This window comes from Homo sapiens, chromosome 4 (genome assembly GCF_000001405.40).
Source record: "Homo sapiens chromosome 4, GRCh38.p14 Primary Assembly".
Taxonomy (NCBI): domain Eukaryota; kingdom Metazoa; phylum Chordata; class Mammalia; order Primates; family Hominidae; genus Homo; species Homo sapiens.
The window spans coordinates 131,861,844-131,887,051 of NC_000004.12; the positions used below are offsets into that span (position 1 = coordinate 131,861,844).

At 32.8% G+C, this 25,208-nt stretch overlaps 1 long non-coding RNA gene across 1 annotated transcript in view; it reads left to right on the forward strand.

Moving 5' to 3' along the window:
- The window catches only part of LOC105377425 (uncharacterized), a 64,594-nt gene extending 57,667 nt beyond the window's left edge, over nucleotides 1–6,927 (forward strand). The window contains exon 5 of the long non-coding RNA XR_007058477.1: nucleotides 6,186–6,927. This is a non-coding gene — a long non-coding RNA (uncharacterized LOC105377425). The remainder of the gene's footprint in view (nucleotides 1–6,185) is intronic.
- Nucleotides 6,928–25,208: the final 18,281 nt, after the last annotated feature.

Consider the following 25,208-nt stretch of genomic DNA (forward strand, 5'->3'; position numbering starts at 1 on the left):
GATTTGATGGCCCCCATCATACCAAATTTGGGCTTCTAGCTAGCCTCAGTTATTCAGATAACTGACCTTCCTTCCTTCCTCCCTCTTGTAATAGTCTTTGTGTATTAGAAGTACCTTGAAATACTGGGTCAGAAAATGTGGCACAAAAGAGAAAAGCTTGCTCACTCCACATCTTGACCTGATCATTTCCTGAACATGATTGAGGTAGATGACTCTTTGCTCCTCTTTGGCTGACCTGCAGGAATAACACTGGGAATAAGCAAATCTCCTTTGGACTCCAGAGGGTGGTGGTCAGGAAGTGGGCCATTGAGAACCTAGGTGGAAACGCAGGCCAGATTATTGGAGTAGTTTGCTTTATAATGTTAAAATATTTATACATATGTTATGTGGGCCCTATTTCCACTCTTATCTTAGAGCCCACACATATTATGGAGGGTCTAGCAGTGTTTCTGGAGTTTTTGGTACTATACCTTTTTCAAGATAAAGTAAAAAAATTTATGGATAATTTAGTTGTTCCCTGTGTAGATTCCAGTGCCAAATTCCTTTCTTAGACACTGTTTCTAGTACAACATGTTAATATGTGACCCCTGCTTCACTTACGGATTTTTAGAGATCTATCCCAGGTTACTTAATTCAACTCCAATACATACTTTTCTTTTAAATGCAGTGAATAAAGGGTGAGTTACTTAGTCACTCCGGTTTTATTTAATCCTACTGTCATCTGACAATATGGTACTGATACGATTTCCTATTTCTAGATGGTTGCTAGAAATATACTGTAATATTTATTCTTGATATATGTTTGTTACTTTAACGGGAATACATAGGCTATAAATAGTCCCCTTGGCTCTCACAAGTTAGACAGTCCTACCCAGAATGCCCTGCTGAAGAGTTGTAGCAGATCACCCTGTTCCTCCTTAACCTCTCTGTGTCTCATATGCTCACCTGTAAAATAGTAATCATAGTAACACCTAACTTGTGATGATGTAGAGAGGATTAAAGAAGCGAATTAGGGGAGGCCAGGCATGGTGACTTATGCCTGTAATTCCAGCACTTTGGGAGGCGAATCACTTGAAGTCAGGAGTTCGAGACCAGCCAGGCCAACATGGTGAAACCCACTTCTACTAAAACAAACAAACAAACAAACAAAAAACACAAAAATTAACGGGGCATTGTGGCAGTTGCTTCTAATCCCAGCTACTTGGTTGGCTGAGGCAGGAGAATCCGTTGGACCCAGGAGGCAGAGGTTGCAGTGAGCCAAGATCACACCACTGCACTGCAGCCTGGGTAACAGAGCAAGGTTTTGTCTCAAAAAAAAAAAAAAAAAAAAAAAAAAAAGCCAATTAGGGTGGAAACACTTAGAAAAGGGTGTTCATAGGTTGTCACCATCTTGAAGCAATTGTTGGACACTATTTTAAAAATGTTTTACTTCTAAGTGAAATGTTGCATTTTATTTTACTAGAAGATTCTTATGTAGTTTAAGTACATTTTACAGTATTGTCAAAGAGCATGAGCAAAATATTTAGGAAAGATGAGACCATATTTCTATTATTAGTGACATTGCCACAAAAAAATCAGGTAGATGAATTTGTATTAAGTTTTTGTACCAATTTCATATCTAAAATTTCAAAGAATTTTATTGCAACAAACTCTTTCTTATCATTAACTCAAAAAAATTCTGTTTTAAATTGACTTCATTCCATAAGTCTCTACACTACTAATTTGGCCAGAAGTTATTTTCAATTCTAATTGGGAACAACAAAGATCCACATGATATCCTTTCAATTTATGATGTTGAAGAAAGTTGAACTGTAATAATTTGAGTGTACAGTCAAAGCAATTTTCAATACTATGTATCACTGTAGAAACAAGGGAGAATGTCTTGGTTAACTATTTAAGTGGCTTGAGTATGGCAATTAAAATTTCATCTAAGCTCATTTTGATGAATCTTGTAAGGTGACATTTATTTCTTATGCTCTGAACATCATAAGTTCTGTTGATTTTTATGGGAAGTTTTCAAGGTCATTTTCAGAGATCTATGACAAAATGACATTATTTGAGAAAAAAAAGAAGAAATAACTCGAAGTTTAAAGCATTATGGTATTCCCTAAGTCCAAAATTTTCTCCCTTTACAAAAACAAATGAAATGCAAAATAGACAAACAAACAAACCATCAAAAATACCTTGAATGGTGGGAATGAAAATTAGTTCGACCATTGTGGAAGACAGTGTGGAGATTCCTTATGGATCTAGAATCAGAAATCCCATGACCCAGTAGTCACATTACTTGGTATATACCCAAAGGAATATAAATCATTCTATTATGAAGACACATGCACACATATGTTTATTGCAGCACTATTTATTATAGCAAAGACGTGGAACCAACCCAAATGCCCATCAGTGATAGACTAGATAAAGAAAATGTGGTATATATACACCATGGAATACTATGCAGCCATATAAAGAACTAGATCATATCCTTTGTAGGAACATGGAAACCACCATCCTCATCAAACTAACACAGGAACAGAAAACCTAACACCGCATGTTCTCACTCATAAGTGAGAGTTGAACAACGAGAACACATTGACACAGGGAGGGGAACAACACACAGTGGGGCCTCTTGGGGCATGGAGGGAAAGGGGAGGGAGAGCATTAGGACTGATACCTAATGCATGCGGCTTAAAACCTGGATGATGGTTTGATAGGTGGCACATGTATACCTATGTAACAAACCTGCAAATTCTGCATATGTATCCCAGAAATTAAAGTAAAATAAAATAATAAAAACAACAACAAAATGTACCTTGAATCTCCAAAATAAGTTAAGACAAATGGTTAAAATTGAGCATGCTTTTATTAGAAGAAAATGTCATTGAAAATATAATAGATAATTTATAGATGGGAACATACGTAAAAACGTATAAGTACTTAGATCTGCTAGATCAAGTGAGTCCCAAATGATAAGGTTACAAAAATAATTTTTTTTGTAGAATATGTGTTTTCAATGAGAAAATGTTGCAAAAGTCAATCATACAGATTGGTAACTTTTATGTTTATTTTTCAAAAGCAGCTCAAAATAGTTCTTTAGATTCTGTAACACCGCAGTGTCCTAATTTAGCTCCTAAAATTTTGTAACAAAATTTTAAATTCACTTGCAAATTGATCTTCATTTAATCTTCCTCTAGGTGTGTAAGCTAAATCAGAGATCTGCATGAACTGCCTATTACTCTTTCATGCTATACATTCTCCCTAGGTAATTTTGATCACTGCCATCTTTTCCATCATCATTTCTACTTGAAGACTAACTAATATAGGTAAAACAAATTTCAACTTCTAGACCTATATGCTTTCCAGATATCTCAAATAAAAGATAAAATTTGGGGAGATATACCATGTTCATGATTTTGAAATAGTCAAGACTGTGTGATATTGTCCTCAAGAAAGACTAAATAGATCAACAGAACAGAATAGAAAATACAAAAACAGATTTACACATATAGTTAATTTTTTTTTAAGTAGCAAGTCAATTCATTAGGGAAAGTATGAGCTTTGAAGAAATGGAATAGTTTTCAAAGCAAGAAATGTAAAACAGTTGGGTATTTATAAGCAATAGAAAAACAAATTTGATTCATAGCTTGCAAAATATATAAACATTAATAAAAAGCCAACCTGAATGTATTGAAATCCTAGATATAAACATAAGATAAATCTTTGTGACCTTAGTTGAAACAAATAAGTGCTGTATATGACATTAAACATTTAATTTGTAAAATAAAATGTTAACTTGAACTTCTTCAAAAGTGAAAATTTTTACTCTTTTTTAAAAATTATTATATTTTAAGTTCTGGGAAACATGTGCAGAATGTGTAGGTTTGTTACATAGGTATACACATGCCATGGTGGTTTGCTGCACCCTTCAACCCATCATCTACTTTAGGTATTTCTCCTAATGCTATCCCTCCCCAAGCCCCCCACCCCCTGACAGGCCCCAGTGTGTGATGTTCCCCTCCCTGTGTCCATGTGTTCTCATTGTTCAGCTCCCAATTATGAGTGAGAACATGTGGTGTTTGGTTTTCTGTTCCTGTGTTAGTTTGCTGAGAATGATGGTTTCCAGCTTTATCCATGTCCCTGCAAAGGACATGAACTCATCCTTTTTTATGGCTGCATAGTGTTCCATGGTGTATATGTGCCACATTTTCTTTATCCAGTCTATGACTGATGGGCATTTGTGTTGGTTCCAAGTCTTTGCTATTGTGAACAGTGCTGCAATAAGCCTACGCGTGCATGTGTCTTTATAGTAGAATAATTCATAATCCTTTTTCTATTTAGTAATGGGATTGCTGGGTCAAACGGTATTTCTAGTTCTAGATCCTTGAAGAATCACCACACTGTCTTCCACAATGGTTGAACTAATTTACACTTTCATCAACAGTGTAAAAGTGTTCCTATTTCTCCATATCCTCTCCAGCATCTGTTGTTTTCTGACTTTTTAATGATCACCATTCTAACTGGAGTGAGATGGTATCTCATTGTGGTTTTGATTTGAATTTCCCTAATGACGAATGATGATCTTTTTTTCACATGTTTTTTGGCCGCATAAATGTCTTCTTCTGAGGAGTGTCTGTTCATATCCTTTGACCACTTTTCGATGGGGTCGTTTGTATTTTTTCTTGCAAATTTGTTTAAGTTATTTGTAGATTCTGGATATTAGCCCTTTTGTCAGATGGATAGATTGCAAAAATTTTCTCCCATTCTGTAGGTTGCCTGTTCACTCTGATGATAGTTTATTTTGCTGTGCAGAAGCTCTTTAGTTTAATTAGATCCCATTCATCAATTTTGGCTTTTGTTGCCAATGCATTTGGTGTTGTAGTCATGAAGTTTTTGTCCATGCCTATGTCCTGAATGGTATTGCCTAGGTTTTCTGCTAAGGTTTTTATAGTTTTAGGTCTTATGTTTAAGTCTTTAATCCATCTTGAGTGAATTTTTGTGTAAGATGTAAGGAAGGGGTCCAGTTTCAGTTTTCCACTGGCCAGTTCTCCCAATACCATTTATTAAATAGGGAATCCTTTCCCCATTGCTTGTTTTTGTCAAGTTTGTCAAAGATCAGATGGCTGTAGATGTGTGGCATTATTTCTTAGGCCTCTGTTCTGTTCTGTTGGTCTACATATCTGTTTTGGTACCAGTACCATGCTGTTTTGGTTACTGTAGCCTTGCAGTATATTTTGAAGTCAGGTCGCATGATACCTCCAGCTTTGTTCTTTTTGCTTAGGATTGTCTTGGCTATACAACCTCTTTTTTGGTTTCATATGAAATTTAAAGTAGGTTTTTCTAATTCTGTGAAGAAAGTCAATGGTAGCTTGATGGGGATAGCATTGAATTTATAAATTACTTCAGCAGTATGGACATTTTCATATTGATTCTTCCTATCCATGAGCATGGAATAGTTTGCCATTTGTTTGTGTCCTCTCCTATTTCCTTGATCAGTGGTTTGTAGTTCTCCTTGAGGAGATCCTTCACATCCCTTGTAAGTTGTTTTCCTAGGTATTTTATTCTCTTTGTAGCAATTGTGAATGGGAGTTCACTTATGATTTGGCTCTCTGTTTGTCTGTTATTGTTGTATAGGAATGCTTGTTATTTTTGCATATTGATTTTGAATCCTGAGATTTTGCTGAAGTTGCTTATCAGCTTAAGGAGATTTTGGGCTGAGACGATGGGGTTTTCTAAATATACAATCTTGTCATCTGCAAACAGAGACAATTTGACTTCCTCTCTTCCTGTTTGAATACCCTTTATTGCTTTCTCTTGCCTGATTGCCTTGGCCAGAACTTTCAATACTATGCTTAATAGGAATGGAAAATGGCATTTAAAAATATTTTTTTAAAAAGCTATGAACTGAGAAAACATTTGAATAGCATATATCTTATTGGCCAAGAAAGGTTTATCTCATCAGGACTAATGTTTATCTTTAGAACTGGCACTTGGCTGGCTTTTGGAAGATAACCTGTGGGCCCTTAATATATTCTACCTGATGACAGTGTTTCCATACATCTTTGGCTTTAGAGTACAGTGCACAAGTGGTTTTCAGCGTCTGAGGCCTTGGACCATGCTGTGCTCATTTGAACAGATAAGTTTATCCTAACAATATAATTTAGAGTGAATGGCTATATTTGCTCTGACAGATGCTGTAGTCTGAGTAGCTGAAATCACTCATATAGGCACCACCTTACATGACTGATGCCCAGTAAAAGCCCTGGAGACCAAAACTTAAATGAGCTTCTCTGATTGACAACACTTCAATATGCTGTCAAATATTGTTGCTGGGAGAATTACGTGTGTTCTTGTGGGATTCCGCTGGGAGAGGACACCTGAAAGCTTGTACCTGATATCTACATTTCTCCCCATGGGCTTTTTTTCTTTGTTGATTTTAATCTGTATCTTTTCATTGTAGTAAACTGTAACTATGAATGTAACATGTTTTCTAAGACCTGTGAATCATTGTAGTTAATCTTTGAGCCTAAGGGTGGTCATAAGGAGCCCCAACACACTAATAAATTACTTTCATAAAGAATATATAAAAGCTGTCAAAAATCAAAAATAAAACAAATCACCCAATTTTTAAAAGGCAAAAGATTGAAAAAGACACCATGAAAGAAGACATGGATGACAAATAAGTATATCAAAAGATTTTAACATCTGTAGTCATTAAAGAATTGAAAACCACAAAGAAATACTATTGATAGTTATTACAATGTCCAAAGTGAAAAAAAAGTATTGACCCTACCAGGTATAGGCAACAAAATGGAGGAACTGAAACTTTAATATACTTTTGATTGACAACCACTTTGTAAAATAGATTGACAGCTTCTTAAAAAAGTAAACCTACACTTACCACTTAATCTAGTCATTTATCTTCTAGATATTTCCCCCTCGAAAAATGAAAAAGAAATTGTTGTATATAAATGTTCATAGGCATTTTCTCTTTAATAGCTAAAACGTGGTCATGACCCAAATATTCATTAACAAGTAATTGGTGATATATACATACAGCAAAATTCTGCTCAGCAATAAAAATGTTCGACTACTGACACATGCAACAACATGAATGAATTTCAAAAGAATTTTGCTGTAAAGCAAAAATGCCAGCCAAAAAATAGTGCACCTTATATGATTCCATTTATATAAAACTTCTGAATGCACCAATATACAATATACAGTAACATACAATACTGAAAGATGGTCAGCAGTTGTCTAGCTAATATGCTTATTAGGAGAGACAATAATTGCAAGAGGGGATTATTAAAAGTAGTCATGAGGAAACATTCTGTGGATTTATATGTTCACTATCTTGACAATAATGGTGATCTCATGTATGTATAACTATGTCAGAGCATATCTAATAATTTATCTTATATATTTTTGGCTTTTAATATATTAATTATAGCTCAATAAATTTCTTAAAAACTCATTGGACTCTATCTGTAATGTGTGTATGTTTAGTTTTAAGTAAAGTGCAGCTAAATTTTTCTCCACCATTACAATTTTCAAACATACTTTCACTTACAGAACAGCATACTGAAAATTAACACATGCTTTTATAATTATAAATAAAATAGTAATATATCATTTCTGCTGAAATAAATGCAAACCAATTACAAGGAATTTATTTGTTTTGATTTTAGTTACTTCATATGTATTAGCATCTAAGCCTCAAAGATTCACTATGTAATTGTGTAAATTAGTAGTAGGGTTACCTGAATCTGGCTTAATAATCAATTAATCAGTATTTATCTTTAAACATTTTTTCCTTTATGAATTGCGTCACACTTTTAAAGAGCCCTTCCTACAAGCATATATAAAATATATTCTTATACTATTTTAGAATAATTTCAGAAGTTAGATTGTTTTCTAGTTTTTAGTGTTTTCATTGATACCAAATTTATTTTTATGTACATAAATGTATGATTTTAAGTCAGATTATTTCAAACTGGTATCCCTGCAATTATCTGAACAGAATTTTTAAGTAGTCACATTGACTTTTTTTTTTTTAAAGTTAGTTTTAAGCTATTTGATAACATATGGATCTACTTCACTAAAGTTATATTTTTGTGTGTAATTCTTTAATCCATCTGGAGATATTTTGGTTGTTTTTCAATCAGATAGCCAGTTAAACCAGAAAGAAAAATCTTACCAAAAAGTTTCCACTTAGAAAATTTAATAGCCAAAAAAACTAATATATGCAAGAATGAGCAAAAACATATTGATAAAAGATACATCATATTTTTATTGAAATATTTCATAATGAAATGTTTCACATGGTTAAAGAACTACAAATTCATTCAATGTAAATAAAAACTTCATGGGAAATGTATAATATATGAGGGATTATTTGATATCTGAAAAAATTAGATAGAAAATAAAGCTTAAAAACTTCTAGAAGGTAATCCAGTAGAATATTTATCAGCTTAGGCTAACAAATGATATAAACATGATTAAAGAACAGCTAAACTTAAATAAAAATATTAAGTTGGTGACAAAGTGTAAAACACCATTCTTGAAAATATGCAATTACAAATAGGAAAGTGCTAATAGGAGAAAAAATAAGATGTTTATAATGCAAAAAGTATTAACATTCAAAACTGTTGATAATATAAAGAAAGATACTAAAAGGAAAAGTATTCCAGTAGTAGAGTAGCCTAAATATAAGGCAATTTGAAGAAAGAAAAGAGGAATCATGAATAGGTTTATCAATCCTGATTCCATCTCACCAGTGATTAGACTGGCAAATAAGAAAATGTGTGATAATACCAAGGGTAATAAAGATATATTTCATTTACATTTACAGTGCTGGTAAACATACACTGTACAACCACTTTGGAGAAAACTTGGAAGTACCTAAAATGTGAAAACGTACAGTTGCTCTTGATCCAGCAAGGGTACCTCTGAGTATATATTGTGGAAAAATTCTCACACATGCATACACAGTGAAACATGTAAGAGTGCTTATAGCAGCATTGTTGGGATTTTTTTTAAACCCTAGATTTGACCTATATATCTATCAGTAGAGAATCAAAATATAATTCAAGCTATTGTTATACAGTGGGATATAGTACATCACTGATAATTAATGCAAATTAATATTATGAACCACTCAAGTTTGAATCAAATATTAGGTAATGGTATAATGAAATTATAAAACTATTTAGAGTTAAAAACAGGCAAAAATATCACATTTATTTTAGAATTCATAATTGAACAGTAGAAGAAAGTAAAAATGCATAGGAATCATAAACATGAAACACAGGAAAAATAAATGAAACATAGGCAGGTGATTGCCTGCAGAGCAAGAAGGCAGAGTTTATTAAGGAGGGCAGTATGAGAACTATTTAAGATATTTTAGGATAAGAAGCGGTTTTGTGAACTTGAATTCATTAAATAACACTTTCTATTTTGTTTTGTTAGTTATCATTTAACATTTTTTAAAAAATATAAAGAATTCTCATAAGTATTTTTAAACTAGAAGACAAGTGGAATGAAACATCTAAATGTCAAATTCTGGTGTGTACTTCCTATTAATTTCTAAACAGGGACACCTGGCAAGCAGAAATAACTCTGAGGACATGTGGGATTTTGAATTTTTGGACACCTCTGTAAAGTTATTTGGCAAGCAATAATAATAGCTACCACTTATTTATCAAGTGTTTACTAATGTACTAAGCATTGCCATATATGGTTTATTACTTCTATCCCATTTAGTATTCAAATCAACATGATGTCTATTTTTGCTCTGTTTTAAAAATAAAGAAGCTAACATGTCCAAGCCACATATTTAGTAAGTATTGGAACTACATCAAAACAAGATAGAAACATTTCAATGGTTTATCCTACTGTCTACTTCCTAGAGGAAAATTATAAATTTACAATAACTGATCCAAATACATTTCCAGAGTTATTTTAGCTTTCACAGTGTTGGCCAGCACAATGTGTTTTTTGTTTGTTTGTTTGTTTGTTTGCTTGCTTCCTTGGTTTTTAATTGAGAACATTCCCATAGTTGACTATTTCAATATTTAATTCTCCAATCTTGTATTTTTGGTTTATCTTGATAAACATCAAATAAGGTGGAGGCAGTTTACACTGAATAGACTTAAGAAGCGGACCTTTACAAGCAAAGTTCAGATGCTTCATTTTACCACAATTTCTCCACTGCTCAGTTTTATTAGACCTAGTCCATATCACGCATTTGGGTTACTTGCCTGGCTCATCTACGACAGAAAATAAGGAAAGGAGAAAGGAAGCAAAAGAGAATAAAGAACCTAAATAAGTGCTATTCATCTACTCAGAGCTGTTTCAAAAAATTAAGTAAATGTTTTCTTCAGTATTCTCAGTCAAATCTTGCTTCATAATTATAAATACCCTGAAGGAGTCATACCAATGTGTTCTCTGTAAATGCCATGAACAATACTTTCTTTTTGTATAAGGTCTTTCATGACTATTGTATTAATAGCACATTTAATAATATTTCAATAGGTCAAAATTATGTCATATATTTTCTTACAAATTTTTGTCATTTTTTAGAATTAATACTACAGCCCAGAAAATAAATATTATTATGAAAGCTTGTTTGTAAAAAATTTCGGTAATTTTATATCTTTTTGGTAAGATTAGTGGCTTCTATTGTATATATTTACAATGGATATCAATATTGATATTGAGTTATCCAATCTAATATTCTTAATAGCTCTGGCTTGAACTATGAATGGTAGATGACTATGTTCTGTATGTATACCAATATGAGTATTTTTTTATGTTAAAGATTTTACTAGAATCCTTAAATAAACCATAATCATCTAATATGATTTTCTGCTGGAATTTATATAATTTATTATCATAAAATATATTGAATTGCTCAGATAAAAATTTTAACTTCTATAAATCTTAATATATAAAAATATAGTCTTCTTCAACAAATTGACATTCCAAATTGGTTTAGAATATCCTTAAATAATTATAGTTTTATTTTCACATAAGCTAATTTTGCAAATTGTTATCTTTTTTTAACTTAACTTTTGTGTTTTGTTTTTTATTTGTTTTTATGTCTTCCCCAAATGTCCTCTTTTTTATGCAAATGTAGAGAAGGCAGACACCTAGAATTCCATCCTAGAATTAAGACGTGACAATAAACTTTGATTTTGTAAATGCATTGTATGCTGACCTAATAGAAGATGAAAAGTGGAAAAATTTGCACAGTGAGTTCAAGAACTCTGAGGAAAAGTATTCAAACAGTCTAGTTAAGAAAACCCTATTTTAAGTGGAAATTTCATACCAAACAAGGCTGCACAGCTTGGAAAAGCTCTGCACTTAAATTAACTTCAGCCGGTGATGTGCTGAGGCTCTTGACTCAAGTACAGGCACACGGGCTGGCTATGATTTGGAGAAACATGGTAAGTCATATGAATGTTAGTTGATAACTAATTTTATTGTTCATGTGCGGAGGACATAGGGTCAAATCTGCCCCAAGAAGACCTCGAGAAAATGTATGTGGGTCTGGATACAGACCTGATGTGACAAAAGAAGCAATAACGGGGAAAGACTGATTCTCTCTGCTTATCATTTAGAACAATCAAAATAACTTTGAAATGAAAAAAACTCTAGGGGTTTTGAAATTATTAAACTGGCATGTACATATTAAAAGGGAGCCAATAAGGAATTTACTACTAATAGGGCATGGGGGAAAGCAGACCCAAAGTTCTAATTAATGTTTTAAAATGATAGTATCCATTTGCCGGTTTTAAGATGAGTCCATACTGCTAAAAATTGCTCTATGTTTCTTATCAAATTTATCTATATCAGCATTTATTTTACTTCTAAATTTAATTACAATTTTTAAATTCCATTATACAAGTTATCTCACATTTAACTATTTGTTACCTTTTTTTCTCATCTTACAATATTACTTCTCTACCTGTCAAACTATATACAGTCCAGTTCTTATTCCAATTATGGCTATAATTGTTGTACAATTAATCAATTAACAAAGTATAGCAAAAAATCAAAAGAACTTTAAAAAATTATGTATAATTGTGATCAATATGATGTTTTTAAGTATGTTCAACTATTTATACTATTTTCCTTCTCAAAGAATCATCAGAATGCTGAACACATAAAATAAACATTGAATAAATTAAAAATAATTTTTCATTTTAAACAATCTAAAGTAATTTAAGTATAGTTCCTATTTAGACTTAACCATAACACTTTGAAAAACTTGAAAGAATTCACTGATTTTTTATAAAATTTAAAATTAATACATATTACACAATTTGTAATATGTATTTTTACTTTGAACATGAGGGCATTTTAAATTGAGCTTCTTTGAAATATAATTCACATATAAAAATTTCAGAAAATTTTAAGGACCTTTTTCATTTCTTTTTACTTACGCTTTGATTAGGATTTCAGTCTGCATACGAATTTGTCATGATTTTAGCTGATACTCATTCAGAAAACGATTTTAATAGATCATTACCTTTCCTTATCTCTCAATGTCATTAGATATATATGTTTTAATCTTAATTTCTAGGACAAATATACATATCTTTTTCTGATTATGTGCCTCTAAGTTTGATAAAAAGTTCTTGATGCAACCAGTGGACTCAACACTTCTCCTTACTTTGCATTTATAATACTAGGCTTACAGCAGTTTTTTTCTCCAAATTAAAGTATAAATATTTAATTTTTACTTTTAATTTTTAAACGTTACTCAATATTATGTTTATAAAATGACTTCTGGAAAAACATGTATATTTTCTATCATTTATTATGTCATAATTGAGAGAAGCAAGAACCCAAATTCATTTAATTATAACACATAAAACTGAATAAATATAGATGACAGATATGTGTTCTTTGTTTTTACATATCTGTTGTAAACCATATTACTCAGATTATCTCACTTCTTTCAAGTTTTCTAATAAAAGCAATTACCATACCTATGTGGAATATATTTTAATAGTAGTTCATTTTAATAAAAGTTATATATTTTTAGGAGGTCAAAATAGCAATTTCAATTTATGAAATGTTGACTTTTTAATCTTATTGACATATTTTCTGGAGGCACATTGTAGAACTATTTGAATAGCAACAGAAATTTCCAGTGGAGAGAAAGTCAGATACGAAACTTCCGTGAGAAAACTGTATTTATCAGTGACTGAAAATCCTTGGATTAGGACCAAACTCCCACCTACTTGTTCTTGTAGATACTCTGTCTAAATACAGATATAGATAGATACAGATACAGATATAGACATAGACATAGATACAAGTACAGTTACATAGAAAAATGAAATAATATTGTAAGATATCCTGAAATATATATAATATGTTAGTTTCTAACATTGTTTTAAAAGTTAGTTGTTTAACCAATCAAAGCAGAAACAACTTAAACAGACTTTACAAAAATTCATCAGATTTAATAAAGTTGTCTATTCGAAGATAGGGCTTTTTTCTTTTTTAAAAATTAAATGAGAAAGCAACTATTGGCAAATTCAAATTCCTTTCTTATCAAAATACGTATTTTGAATTTTTATTGTTTAAAACAATACAGAATTTGAATTAATAGCTATCTTAGTAAGGAAATGTCTTTCCTCAAGACTACAATGTGCTATCTTGCATACAAAATTACCAAATAAACACAGTGGCTGCTGATAAATTTTTACCTAATTATTCAATATGTTTCCCTTGAAAGAGGAATGATTAAATGAATTAAACAACAGTTAAACAATTAGATTCAGTATGAATATTATGTGCATACTGTACAACTTTTGTATTTTCAAGGTCAATCATTGCATAGAAAGAAATTTATTTTTTTAAGAAGTTAAAAATATAGTACTTAATCTTGAATAAATTTGTTAATAACTAGGGCACATTAAAATATGACTCAAAGGTAGTAAAATTACATTTTAACATTTATACAAGAGGTTGTCTAGAATATCACAAAAGAAAAATAACCTAAAAATAAAAACTTTCCAAAAACAAAGACTCAAAAGCAGCCCAAAACTGTTACAATAAAAATAATGCCACAATATTTGTTTCTATTTTAATTGAAAAAAGCAAAAGCAGATTTAGTTATTACTCTAAATAGATACTTTATTGTTGATTTCTCTAGATTTAACAGATTCAATAGTTTGAACTTAAAACCGTATTTCTCAATTTTACTCTAATTTTTTAACCTCAAACTTAAAACACATCATTTCCCTCTTTATTTTCCCACCAACCACACACACTAGCCATGTCATTCTATTTGTATTTACCTCATTCTTTTTCACATACTCTTTGTGTGTGATTCTGGTTTACCATTTTTTAGAATATCTTTTCTCAATTTTTCACCTATATTAAATATTGTTTTAATATATAGTGTATTAATAGAAAAGCTAAGGTATAGTAAGGTAAGATCAGAAGACAATTGCCATTGAAAAGATACTCACAGTTTCCAAGAGAAGGGAGCATGTCACGCCAGGGGAGACTACAGGGAAGAACTCAGGTCCATCAGGAAACAGAGAGAGGGAGGAATTCAGGAGCAAGACCCTAGACTGTGGTGTTTGCAGGAAGAAACCAAGCAGGGTAAACAAGCTTAGGACTGGCTCGTTTGAATAATTTCAGTGGGCTCTGGGGCATAAGAGTTGTCCCTGGTTGTCTGGTTTTTGGCCCTAGCGTGATTAGGACAGAAGCACAGTGGCCTGGAGTGTGAGAGCCCTATAGAGTATGTGTTTGGGAATTGGTTAGTTTGTATTTGTAAAGCCCATTTTCATGAGGAGTTCAGGGGAGACTTCGTAGCCAGAAGTTGAGGCAAGGTGACTCCAGCATACTATCCATCTTCAAGAACAAGATGTGTCTGAATTGTTGTATGTTATAAAGTTTCGATGTCTAATAGGGCAAATCTTTCATCCTGTTGGTCCTCTTTGATTTAATTTGCTGTTTTTCTCTCTCTCTCTAAGTACTGTTCTCGGAATAATCCAATCTGATATGTGTGTCACTATTCCAAGGAATGAGTAGATCACACTTTATTTTTCTGCTTCTTATGAACATTAATTTGTTCAGTTTTCTGAAATTTTCAATGCTATTGTGATTTTTTTAAATTAACATTGCTACTATGCTTATTGTGTACTTGTTGCCAGAAATGCAAGAGCTAAGATGTCTCTGGAAATGGAATTCCTGGGTCACAGGCTTGGCACATGATCAACATTATTAGATAATGTTAAATTGTTGTACAATGTAATCACATTAATTTGTATGCCAATAGTAGTATATAAAAGTTTGAATTGCCCTACATCCAAACTCACACAAAAATAAATGCAGTCTAAAAATTTATAATGTGATGTATACGAAATTATATTTTGGGCTGGGTGCAGTGGTTCGTGCCTGTAATCCCAGCACTTTGGGAGGCCAAGGTGGGCAGATCAACGGAGGCCAGGAGTTCAAGACCAGCCTGGCCAACATGGGGAAACCCCATCTCTACTAAAAATACAAAAATTAGCTGAGTGTGGTGGTGCATGCCTGTAATCCCAGCTACTTGAGAGGCTGAGGCAGGAGAATAGCTTGAATCCAGGAGGTGGATGTTGCAATGAGCTGAGATTGTGCCACTGCACGCCAGCCTGAGTGACAGAGTGAGACTCCCTCTCAAAAAAAAAAAAAAAAGAAATTATATTTTGTTGTTTTATAGTTTTAATTTGAATTAATAATAAGCTTTGGTACCATTTCATGTATTTTAACTTTTTTATTATTTAAAAAGTCTGCTTATGTATTTTCGTATTTTAATTTTTATGTCTTTTTCTAAATCCTTAACAGAAATTAATTGTATCATGAATTTTAATAGATTGTTATGTACTTGCAAATGTTGCCATGCTGTTTATGATGATTTTTCATTTTACCAGTGGTGATTTAGAAGGAACAGATACTCTTGATATCTGTGGGATCAAATTTACAAATTGTCTTGCTCCAGTCAGTTTTTGTGCTGGTTTGAAAATTTTTTTCATACTCTGAGATTCAGGCTAAATTGCTTTTAAAATTTTAAAGCTTTGTGTTTCATATTTATATTCTTGATGAGATGTATAGAGTGAGAATGAGATACATTGTCTTTTTATTATAAACAACCTTGCTTTAGTAGCTACTAAAGTTTACTTTTGAAATTGTATTTCTTAAATATTTCTGTTATTATAGAAAATTGATTTTGTATTCTATCTTATATCCATTAACTTTTCTCATTTAGTAATTCTAATAATCCTAGGCATTCTTCACAGTGCATTGTAATAATGTATACATTTCATAGGATGACAATTTTTAGGTACACTTAATGGTAGGAGACTATAGATTATTCGGATTTTCTTTGGTTTAAAACTGGTAAACTTTTTTTAAGGGGAAAGTAACAATCACTTTCTACAATATGTGACTCTTCAAAGAGTAAATCAGAGACAAATCTTTTTTTTCAAATTTATTTTTTTGAAAATCAATAATAATGACCCTATTTTTTAGTTTGAATGGATTCTCATTAATTTAAAATGCAAATATTTTGGACTAAATGTTTGTGTCTCTCCCACCCCAAATTTAAATTTTGAAGCCCTAATCCCCAGTATTATGGTTTTGGAGATGTGGGCTTTTGGAGGTCAAAAGGTTGAGATGAAACCATGAGGATGGAGTCCTCACGATGGAATTAGTGAATTTATTATAAAAGACACAAAAGAGCACTTTCTTGTACACTTCCTTTGTCTCTGTCTCTCTGTGTGTTTCTCTATTTCTCTTCCCTGTGGGAACACAACAAAAGGTATCTGTGTGACAAGAATGAAGAATACCCTCAGCAGAAACTGACCATGTGTATGCTGATCGTGTACTTCTTAGCCTCCAAACTATGAGGAAAAAAATTTGTTGTATAAGACACCAAGTTTATTGCATTTTGTTATGGCAGCCTGAGCAGTCTAACAAGAAAGCAATAAAAAGTATAAGTAATTAAGATAAAACTAAATTTATCATCGAAATTCTCACCATCAAGAAATAACCATTTTCAAAATATGTAGAACAAGATTTCACATATTTTCCTAAGGTTTATTGACAAAGAGATAGTTGATAAAGATTTTATACAAATTGACTATTAAGAAACGATTGTATTTAATTATAATGAGATTAAAATAATTTTGAATAGAGAAACTGATTAACGTTTATGCATATTTGTTCCTAAAGTACATTCAAAGTTAAGAGAACAGATTATAAAATTGTAAGTTAGAGTTCTTATAGTATAGGTTTCTTACAAGAAGGGAAGAAAGCAAAATAAATTTAACACAACTAAAGCAGATCTTGCAGAATGTGATTTATATATGGACATGAGTCAGCTTCCTAAACTTGAATCTCAGTGTTATATAGATGAACCCACTCAGACAGAAACAACATTGAACTAGAACAGAACTCCTTTGACAGGCAATGCACATGTTTTTAGGAGAGCAGAGTGTAAGCTTTCTCTGAGCCTCAGAGAGGCAGAAGGTAAGAATGATTCTGGGTTATGCGTCCTCAAGTTTTTGTTTAAACTCTCTGAATAAGTACCTCATTCCATTTTTCTGGGGCAAAGTGAGTGGATGGGGAAAGCAGACCAAGGGCATTATGTGAATGGGTCACTTCAAAGGGAAAAACATATCTGAAACATGGTAGAAGCACCCCATAACTAACTACTTTTTCATGCCTTTGGCCTACTGGACTTAACCATTATAGCAATGATGACTCAAAAACTACACTAAAGCAGTGTTAAAAGGAAAATTGATGGTGCTAAATGCATTCATCAGGGGGACAAAAAGGTCTCAAGTTAATGACCTAACATAGCAACTAGGGGAATTAGAAAAAAAGCAACAGAAAAGACCCAACCCCAAAGCTAGTAGAAGAAAAAAAAAAACTGAAGTCAGAGAACTGAAAAAAAATTGATATCTCAAAGTCCACACAAAAGATGAAGCCAAGAGTTTTTTTTAATAAACAATACTGATAGATCATTAGCTAGATTAACAAAGAAAAAGAGATCCAAATAAGTATAATCAGAAATTATAAAGATTATATTAAAATTGATCCCATGAAAATACAAAATATATGCAGAGACTATTATGAGCACCTCTCTGCACACAAATCTAGAGGAAATGAATAAATTCCTGGAAACACACAATCTCCCAAGATTGAATCAGGAAGAAAGTGAAAACCTGAACGGACCAATAGGAAGTTTGGAAATGAAATTAGTAATAAAAACCTACGAAATAAAATAAAATAAAAGCCCTGTAACAGATGGATTCACAGCTGAGTTCTATCAGATGTGCAAAGGAGAAATGATACCAATCCTACTGAAATGTCTCCAAACAATCAAGGAGGAGGGGCTTCTACCTAACTCATACTACAAAGCCAGCATTACCCTGTTACCAAATCTGGCACAGACCACGGAAAAAGAAAAGAGAAAACTACAGATCAATATCTCTGATGAAAATACAAGCAAAAATTGTCAAACCAAATCCAGCAGCACATCAAAAAGTTCATTCACTATGACCAAGTAGGGTTTATTCCTGGGATATAAAGTTGATTCAACATATGCAAATTGATAAATGTGATTCACCACATAAACAGAATCAAAAACAAAAAACATAGGATCATCTCAATAGATACAGAACAAGCCAGCAATAAAATTCGACATTCCAGCCAGGCGCGGTGGCTCACGCCTGTAATCCCAGCACTTCAGGAGGCCGAGACAGGCGGATCATGAGGTCAGGAGATCGAGACCACGGTGAAACCCCGTCTCTACTAAAAATACAAAAAATTAGCCAGGCATGGTGGCGGGCGCCTGTAGTCCCAGCTACTCGGGAGGCTGAGGCAGGAGAATGGTGTGAACCCGGGAGGTGGAGCTTGCAGTGAGCCGAGATCTCGCCACTGCACTCCAGCCTGGGCAACAGAGTGAGACTCCGTCTCAAAAATAAATAAATAAATAAATAAAATTCAACATTCCTTTTATGATAAAAACCCTCAACAGATTAGGCGTTGAAGGAACATACCTCAAAATAATAAAACTATCTATGACAAACCCACAGTCGCCATCAAACTGAACAGCAAAAGCTGGAACCACACCTCTGGAGAACTGAGACAAGACACGGATGCCCACTTTTACCACTTCTATTCAGCATAGCACTGAAAGTCCTAGTGAGAGCAAACAGGCAAGAGAAAGAAACAAAAGGCATCCAAATAGGAAAAGAAATTAAACAATCTCTCTTTGCCAATGCTGTGATTCTACACATAGAAAATCCTAAAGTCTCCATCAGAAGGCCCTTTGAACTGATAAGTGAATTCAGTAAAGTTTCAAGAAATAAAAACATTGTAGGAAAATAAGTAGCATTTTTATGAACCGAAATCATTGCAGCTAATAACCAAACCAAGAACACAATCCAATTTACAGTACCCACAAAGAAAATGAAATACCTAGGAATTCATCCAACCAAGGAGGTCAAAGACCACTGCAAGGAGAAGTACAAGACACTGTTGAAAGAAATCAGAGATGACACATAAATGGAAAAATATCCATGCTCATGGATTGGAAGAATCAATATTGTTAAAAATGGATATACTGCCTAAAGCAATTTACAGATTCAATGCTATTCCTATCAAAATACCAATGCCATTTTTTAAATAATTAGAATGAAACCTATTATAAAATTCATCTGGAACCACAAAAGAGATTGAATAGCCAAAGCAATCCTAAGCAAAAAGAAAAGCCAGAGGTATCACATTGCCAGACTTCAAACTGTACTATAAGGCTACAGTGATCAAAACAGCGTGGTACTGATACAAAAACAGACACACAGACCAGTCAGTGGAATAGAATAGAAGACCCAGAACTAAATTTGCACACCTACAACTAGATGACCTTTGAAGAAGCTGACAAAAACAAGCAATGGGAAAAAAAATTCCCTATTCAATAAATTGTGCTGTGGTAACTGGCTAGCCATATACAGAAGATTGAAATTGGACCCCTACCTCTCAACATATATGAAAATTAACTCAAGATTAAAAATTTATGAGTAAGACCTAAAACTATAATAATACTAGAAGAAAATCTAATTCTTCTATAGATTAGACACTATTGTAGGTGTCCATCAATAGTGAATTGGGTAAAGAAAATATGGTATGTATACATCACAAAATGCAGTGCAGCCATAGAAAAGAACAAAGTCATATTCTTTGTGGCAACATGAATGGAGCAGGAGACCATTATCCTAAGTGACCTAATAGAAGAACAGAAAGCCACATACCACATCTTCTTACTTATAGATGGGAGCTAAACATTGAATATACATGTTAAGATGGGAACAATAGACATTGGGGACCACTAGACTGGGGAGGAAAGGTAGGGGTGGGCTGAAGAACTACCTGTTGGGTACTGTGTTTACTGCCCGGGTAGTAGGATCACTGGGACTCCAAGCCTCAGCATCACACAATTACTCATGTAACAGTCTTTCATTAACCTATAATAAAAGTTGAAATTAATTAAAAAAACCAAACAGCTACACTGTTTCATTGCTCTAGATTTCTTTTTGTCTCCATTTAATTATGGAGAGACGTGCAGAGACAGAAATGACTGTCACGTGTTCTTATACACATAAAGCCCTGGAAACAGGAGCCACAGCACATCATGCACTGGGGCCATATGGGGAAGTACCAGAGTCAGTGAAGGCAAAAGGAGCAAGACTAAAGCATGAGCCAGAGCCTTTAATATGGTTTTCCTTGGAAGGAATGAGTGAGACAGTGTAAGCAGCTGAGCAGGTTTAAGACTGGGTAGTGTGAGTGCTTTTTGTGTAATTTAGTCCCTAGTGTTCCAGCACCTGATTCTGAGGTGATGAAAGCAGAGGGATAATGTCCCAGACCACAGGAGCCATATAATAAGAGTCAAGTGAGGGTGTGGATTCTGGATTGGTTGGTTTGCATATAAATAACATGCTCATAGGCAAGTTGTTTAGTATTTCTAGAAATTAGCTAACCCTAGGAGGAGCACTCTGTCTTGAAACCCATATGGTCTCAAGATGTCAAAGCAAAACAAAAACAATAACCATGATTAATACAGCAAGATGGAATAAGCTATATATTGCCTTAAGGAAGAAGTTACTTGGCTCTCTATGGCTGATCCTCATAACCTGTAAGATTTGTTCTCTTGACTTGAGTTGGACAACTGGGGTTTTATTTCTGAAGCATTTTATAGGAACTACTCATTGTTCTTGTTTTTGTCATAGTAGTCATGATGCTGGCCAATTGCATTTAACTCAGTCTTAACTTCCTTTTTATAGCAGCCCTCTCACCAGAAGATTGCCCTTACTACAAAACTGCAAAAAGTTCAAGAACATCTCATAATATGGTTGACAATAGAGACAACTAAACAGTCTCTAAGTCGTGAAGATTTGAATCTCTAAACTTCCCTGAATTGGCTTAGTCAATGCCTCACAAGCTAGTTAATGACAAAATGGGAGGAGGGGTAGCCAGACCATGTATAAGAATAGAGCTCTGACCCACATCTTTGTAGCAACCAGCCTGGGAAGCCAAACCACAGCCTCTGCATCAACCAGCCCCAGATGAATAGGATTTAGTTAATGATTGCCAGGTTCCCTATTTTTGCCCCCGCTGCCAACTCAGGACCCATCAGAGAAAGTCAAGTATGCTTTCTGACTGATCACATAAGATGCTCCATTTCCCCTTATTTATTTAGTCCATCTTCAGCTTCCCCATACAACCTTAAAGCAGAGCACATCCAAAAGCTTTCCTTTTCCAAGTACAAAACTTTCCTATTCCTCAGCCTTTCTTTGAGTCTCTGCAAAACATATATGATGACAGCTGACTTTCTTGTTATAAAACGTCTGAATAAATATAGATTCTCTCTGTTATTATTAGGTGTTATTTATTTCCACAACCTACAAAAAATCTTCAGGCAGGGTACTATTTAAAGGTGCAATATTGAAAAATTCCACATAAAATCAGGAAAAAAGAAAGAATGTTCATCTCACTACTATTCTTCTACACATTACTGTAAGCACTAACCATTATAAAAGGAAAATAAAGGGCATAATGATTGAATAGGAAAAACAAAATTGTCTTTACTTGAAAATGAGATGATTATGGAAAAAAACTAAGGAATACATTTCAAAAGCTACTAGAACTAAATAATATATATATATATGAAATTTATAGCAAATAAGGTTAATATAGAAAAGTGCATGTTGAGTGTTCCTTATCCAGATATCTGAAATCTGAAATGCTCTAAAAGCTGAAACTTTTTGAGAGCTGACGTGATGCTCAAGGAAATGTTCACTTAAGCATTACAGATTTTGGATTTCTGGATTAGCACTACTGAATTTGTAAGTATAATGTAAATATTCTGAAATCTGAAAATAATTTGAAATCTGAAATACCTCTGGTCCCAAGCATTTTTTAACTCATTATATGTGCTCATTTATTTTTTTTAACAAATACCTATTAAGCAGACACTATGAACAAAAACTGTGCAAACATTGGAAATACATAAGTAGACAAGGCAGAAAGGCCTCTTGTATTAAAAATAAACGAAGGAGGACACTAGTTAAAGTGGTAAGGACAGATTTTAATCAGTAATAATGATTGCAACAGGGAAAAGAGTGCAGCATTAGTTGAATTCAACTTCAATTTGTATATTGGCAACTGATTGTTTTATTTTATTTTAGATTCTAGGGGTACATCTGAATGTTTGTCACATGGGTATACTGTGTGATGCTGAATATTGGACTTCTAATAATCTCATCACCCATGTAGTGAACATAAGACCCAATAGATAGTTTTTCAACAGTTGGCCAGCTCCCTCTCTCTTCCCTTTTGGAATCTCCAGTGTTTATGGTTCTCATCTTTGTGTTTTTGGGTACCAAATGTTTACCTCCTACTTATAAGTGAAAACATGTGGTATTTAGTTTGCTGTTTTTGCATTAATTCGACAAGCATTTTGGATAAGCAGTTCTTAACCGGTAAAATGTGTTGTTGCATACTAATAATGAATCATTAAAACATAATAATAAATTCTATTCACAATAGAATAATCACAAGCATATAATTCTTAGGAATAAAGGCAACAAAATATGCATAGGTCTTTTATCTAAAAGCTAAAAAATATTATTGATAAATGTTAAGAAAAAATAGAAAACGTAGATCTATACATGTTCTTATTGATATGTTATTTATATTAAGATATCCATCCACCTTACATTGATCTACAAATGTATTTCAACTCTGATGAAAATCACATCAGATTTTACTGCAAAATAAAAATAAACAATGTGATGTCAAGATGTATATAAATATGCAGAAATACAAAGGAACATAGGTAACTTAACCAATCTTGGAAAATAATATAATCAAAGAAGTAACATTAAATTATTTTAAGATTTTTAAAGCTGCATGTTAAAAAATGGAGCATCCATAAATATGTTCGTGTTTAATATAGATGATGAACTGATTTTCTATGAAGACAAAGGACAATAGAAAATACATATTTTTACAACAAATCTGAAACAACTAGATAAATTTATGAAAATCAAATGATTTTTTTATTTCTAACTTTTCCTGTTGCCCAGGCTGGAGTGGTGCAATCATAGCTCACTGCAGCCTCAAACTCCTGGGCTCAAGAAATCCTCCTTCTTCAGTCTCCTAATGCACTGGGGTTGCAAGTGTGAGTCATCATGCTTAGCCTAACGTCAATGTTTATCCCATATCATTTACAAATTTGTGATGAATCCAATTTGAGATGCTCATAAACATAAATATGAAACATAAATATAAAAACTAATACTATAAAGCATATAAGAGAACAATCCTGCATCTTAGGGAGGCAAAATATTGCATCTTTAGGGAGTCAAAAATATTTCAGACAAAACAAACAGAAAATGTAGCCGTAAAGGAAAAAATTATATAAATAGGGCTTCCTCAAAATAAGATTTTCTACTCATCAAGAGAAAGCATTTAAAAAAATTAAAAGGCAGGACACAGAATCAGAGGAATTATTTTTAATACATACAAATGACTTAGAAGATCTTAATAAGTGGTACCATTCAGTAATAAAACATCTAACAGCCTCTCCCCAAATAGGCATGAGTCTTGAATATCTTACAAAGGAAGATATGCAATGTCACATGAACAGGCACTGGACATCATTATTCATTAGGAATATGCAAATATACATGACAATGACAGCCATTGCACATTCACTAGAAATTATTTAAAGAAATTTTAAAATACTGACAATACCAAAAATTATAGATATGTAGCAACTGGAAGTCTTTTGTTTCTTAAGAGTGTAAAATGGGGCAAACACTCCAGAGAACAGTTAATTATTTTCTTATAAAGATTAAAATATATTTTTCTTTGACCTAGTAAGTTTTTTTCTCTGTTATGTATACAAAAGAAATAATAACCGATGCCACGATAAAGATTTATTCAAAACTTATTAGAACAGTTTTATTCTTAAAACTAAACCTTGAAACAACCCAAACATCCTTCAATAAAGGAATGGATACACGAATTGTATATATTCATACAGTGGATACTACAGTGCTCAGAATTAACAACAACAATGACAAATCAGATATTGACATGTGTAACAAAATGTCTGGGCCTCTATAAAATATTATATTGAATAAAATAAAAAGTTGAATATCTATTCTTATTATGTTGAACAAATTTAAAAAAAAATTACACGGTATAAAGTTCCATTTATATGACATTCCAGAAGAGGCAAAACTATTCCACGGTTATGAAAATAAGAATGGATTAAAGATTTGATGTGTGAATGAGATTTAAGTGGAAAGGCATGAAGGAATTTTTGAGGTGAGGAAAATGCCTGTAGCTTGAATCGGTATTGATTATATGGGTCTTTGTATTTGTCCAAAGTTATTGAATTGTAAACTTTAGATCTGTGCATTTCACAGTTTAAAAAAATTTACCTCACCAGTGAAACTCTGTCTACCTAAAGTCTGCAGAAAGCATAACTCAAGAATTTAACATAAGGTCCCCTAATCACATGAAGGTAAGAAACAGCCATCTTTTAAACATTTAAAAAGTCAGGGGAATAAAAAATCCAGGAGTTTTTTTTTTTTTCAAATAACTATTAAAATAAACTTATGCCAGTGAAAGAAAAT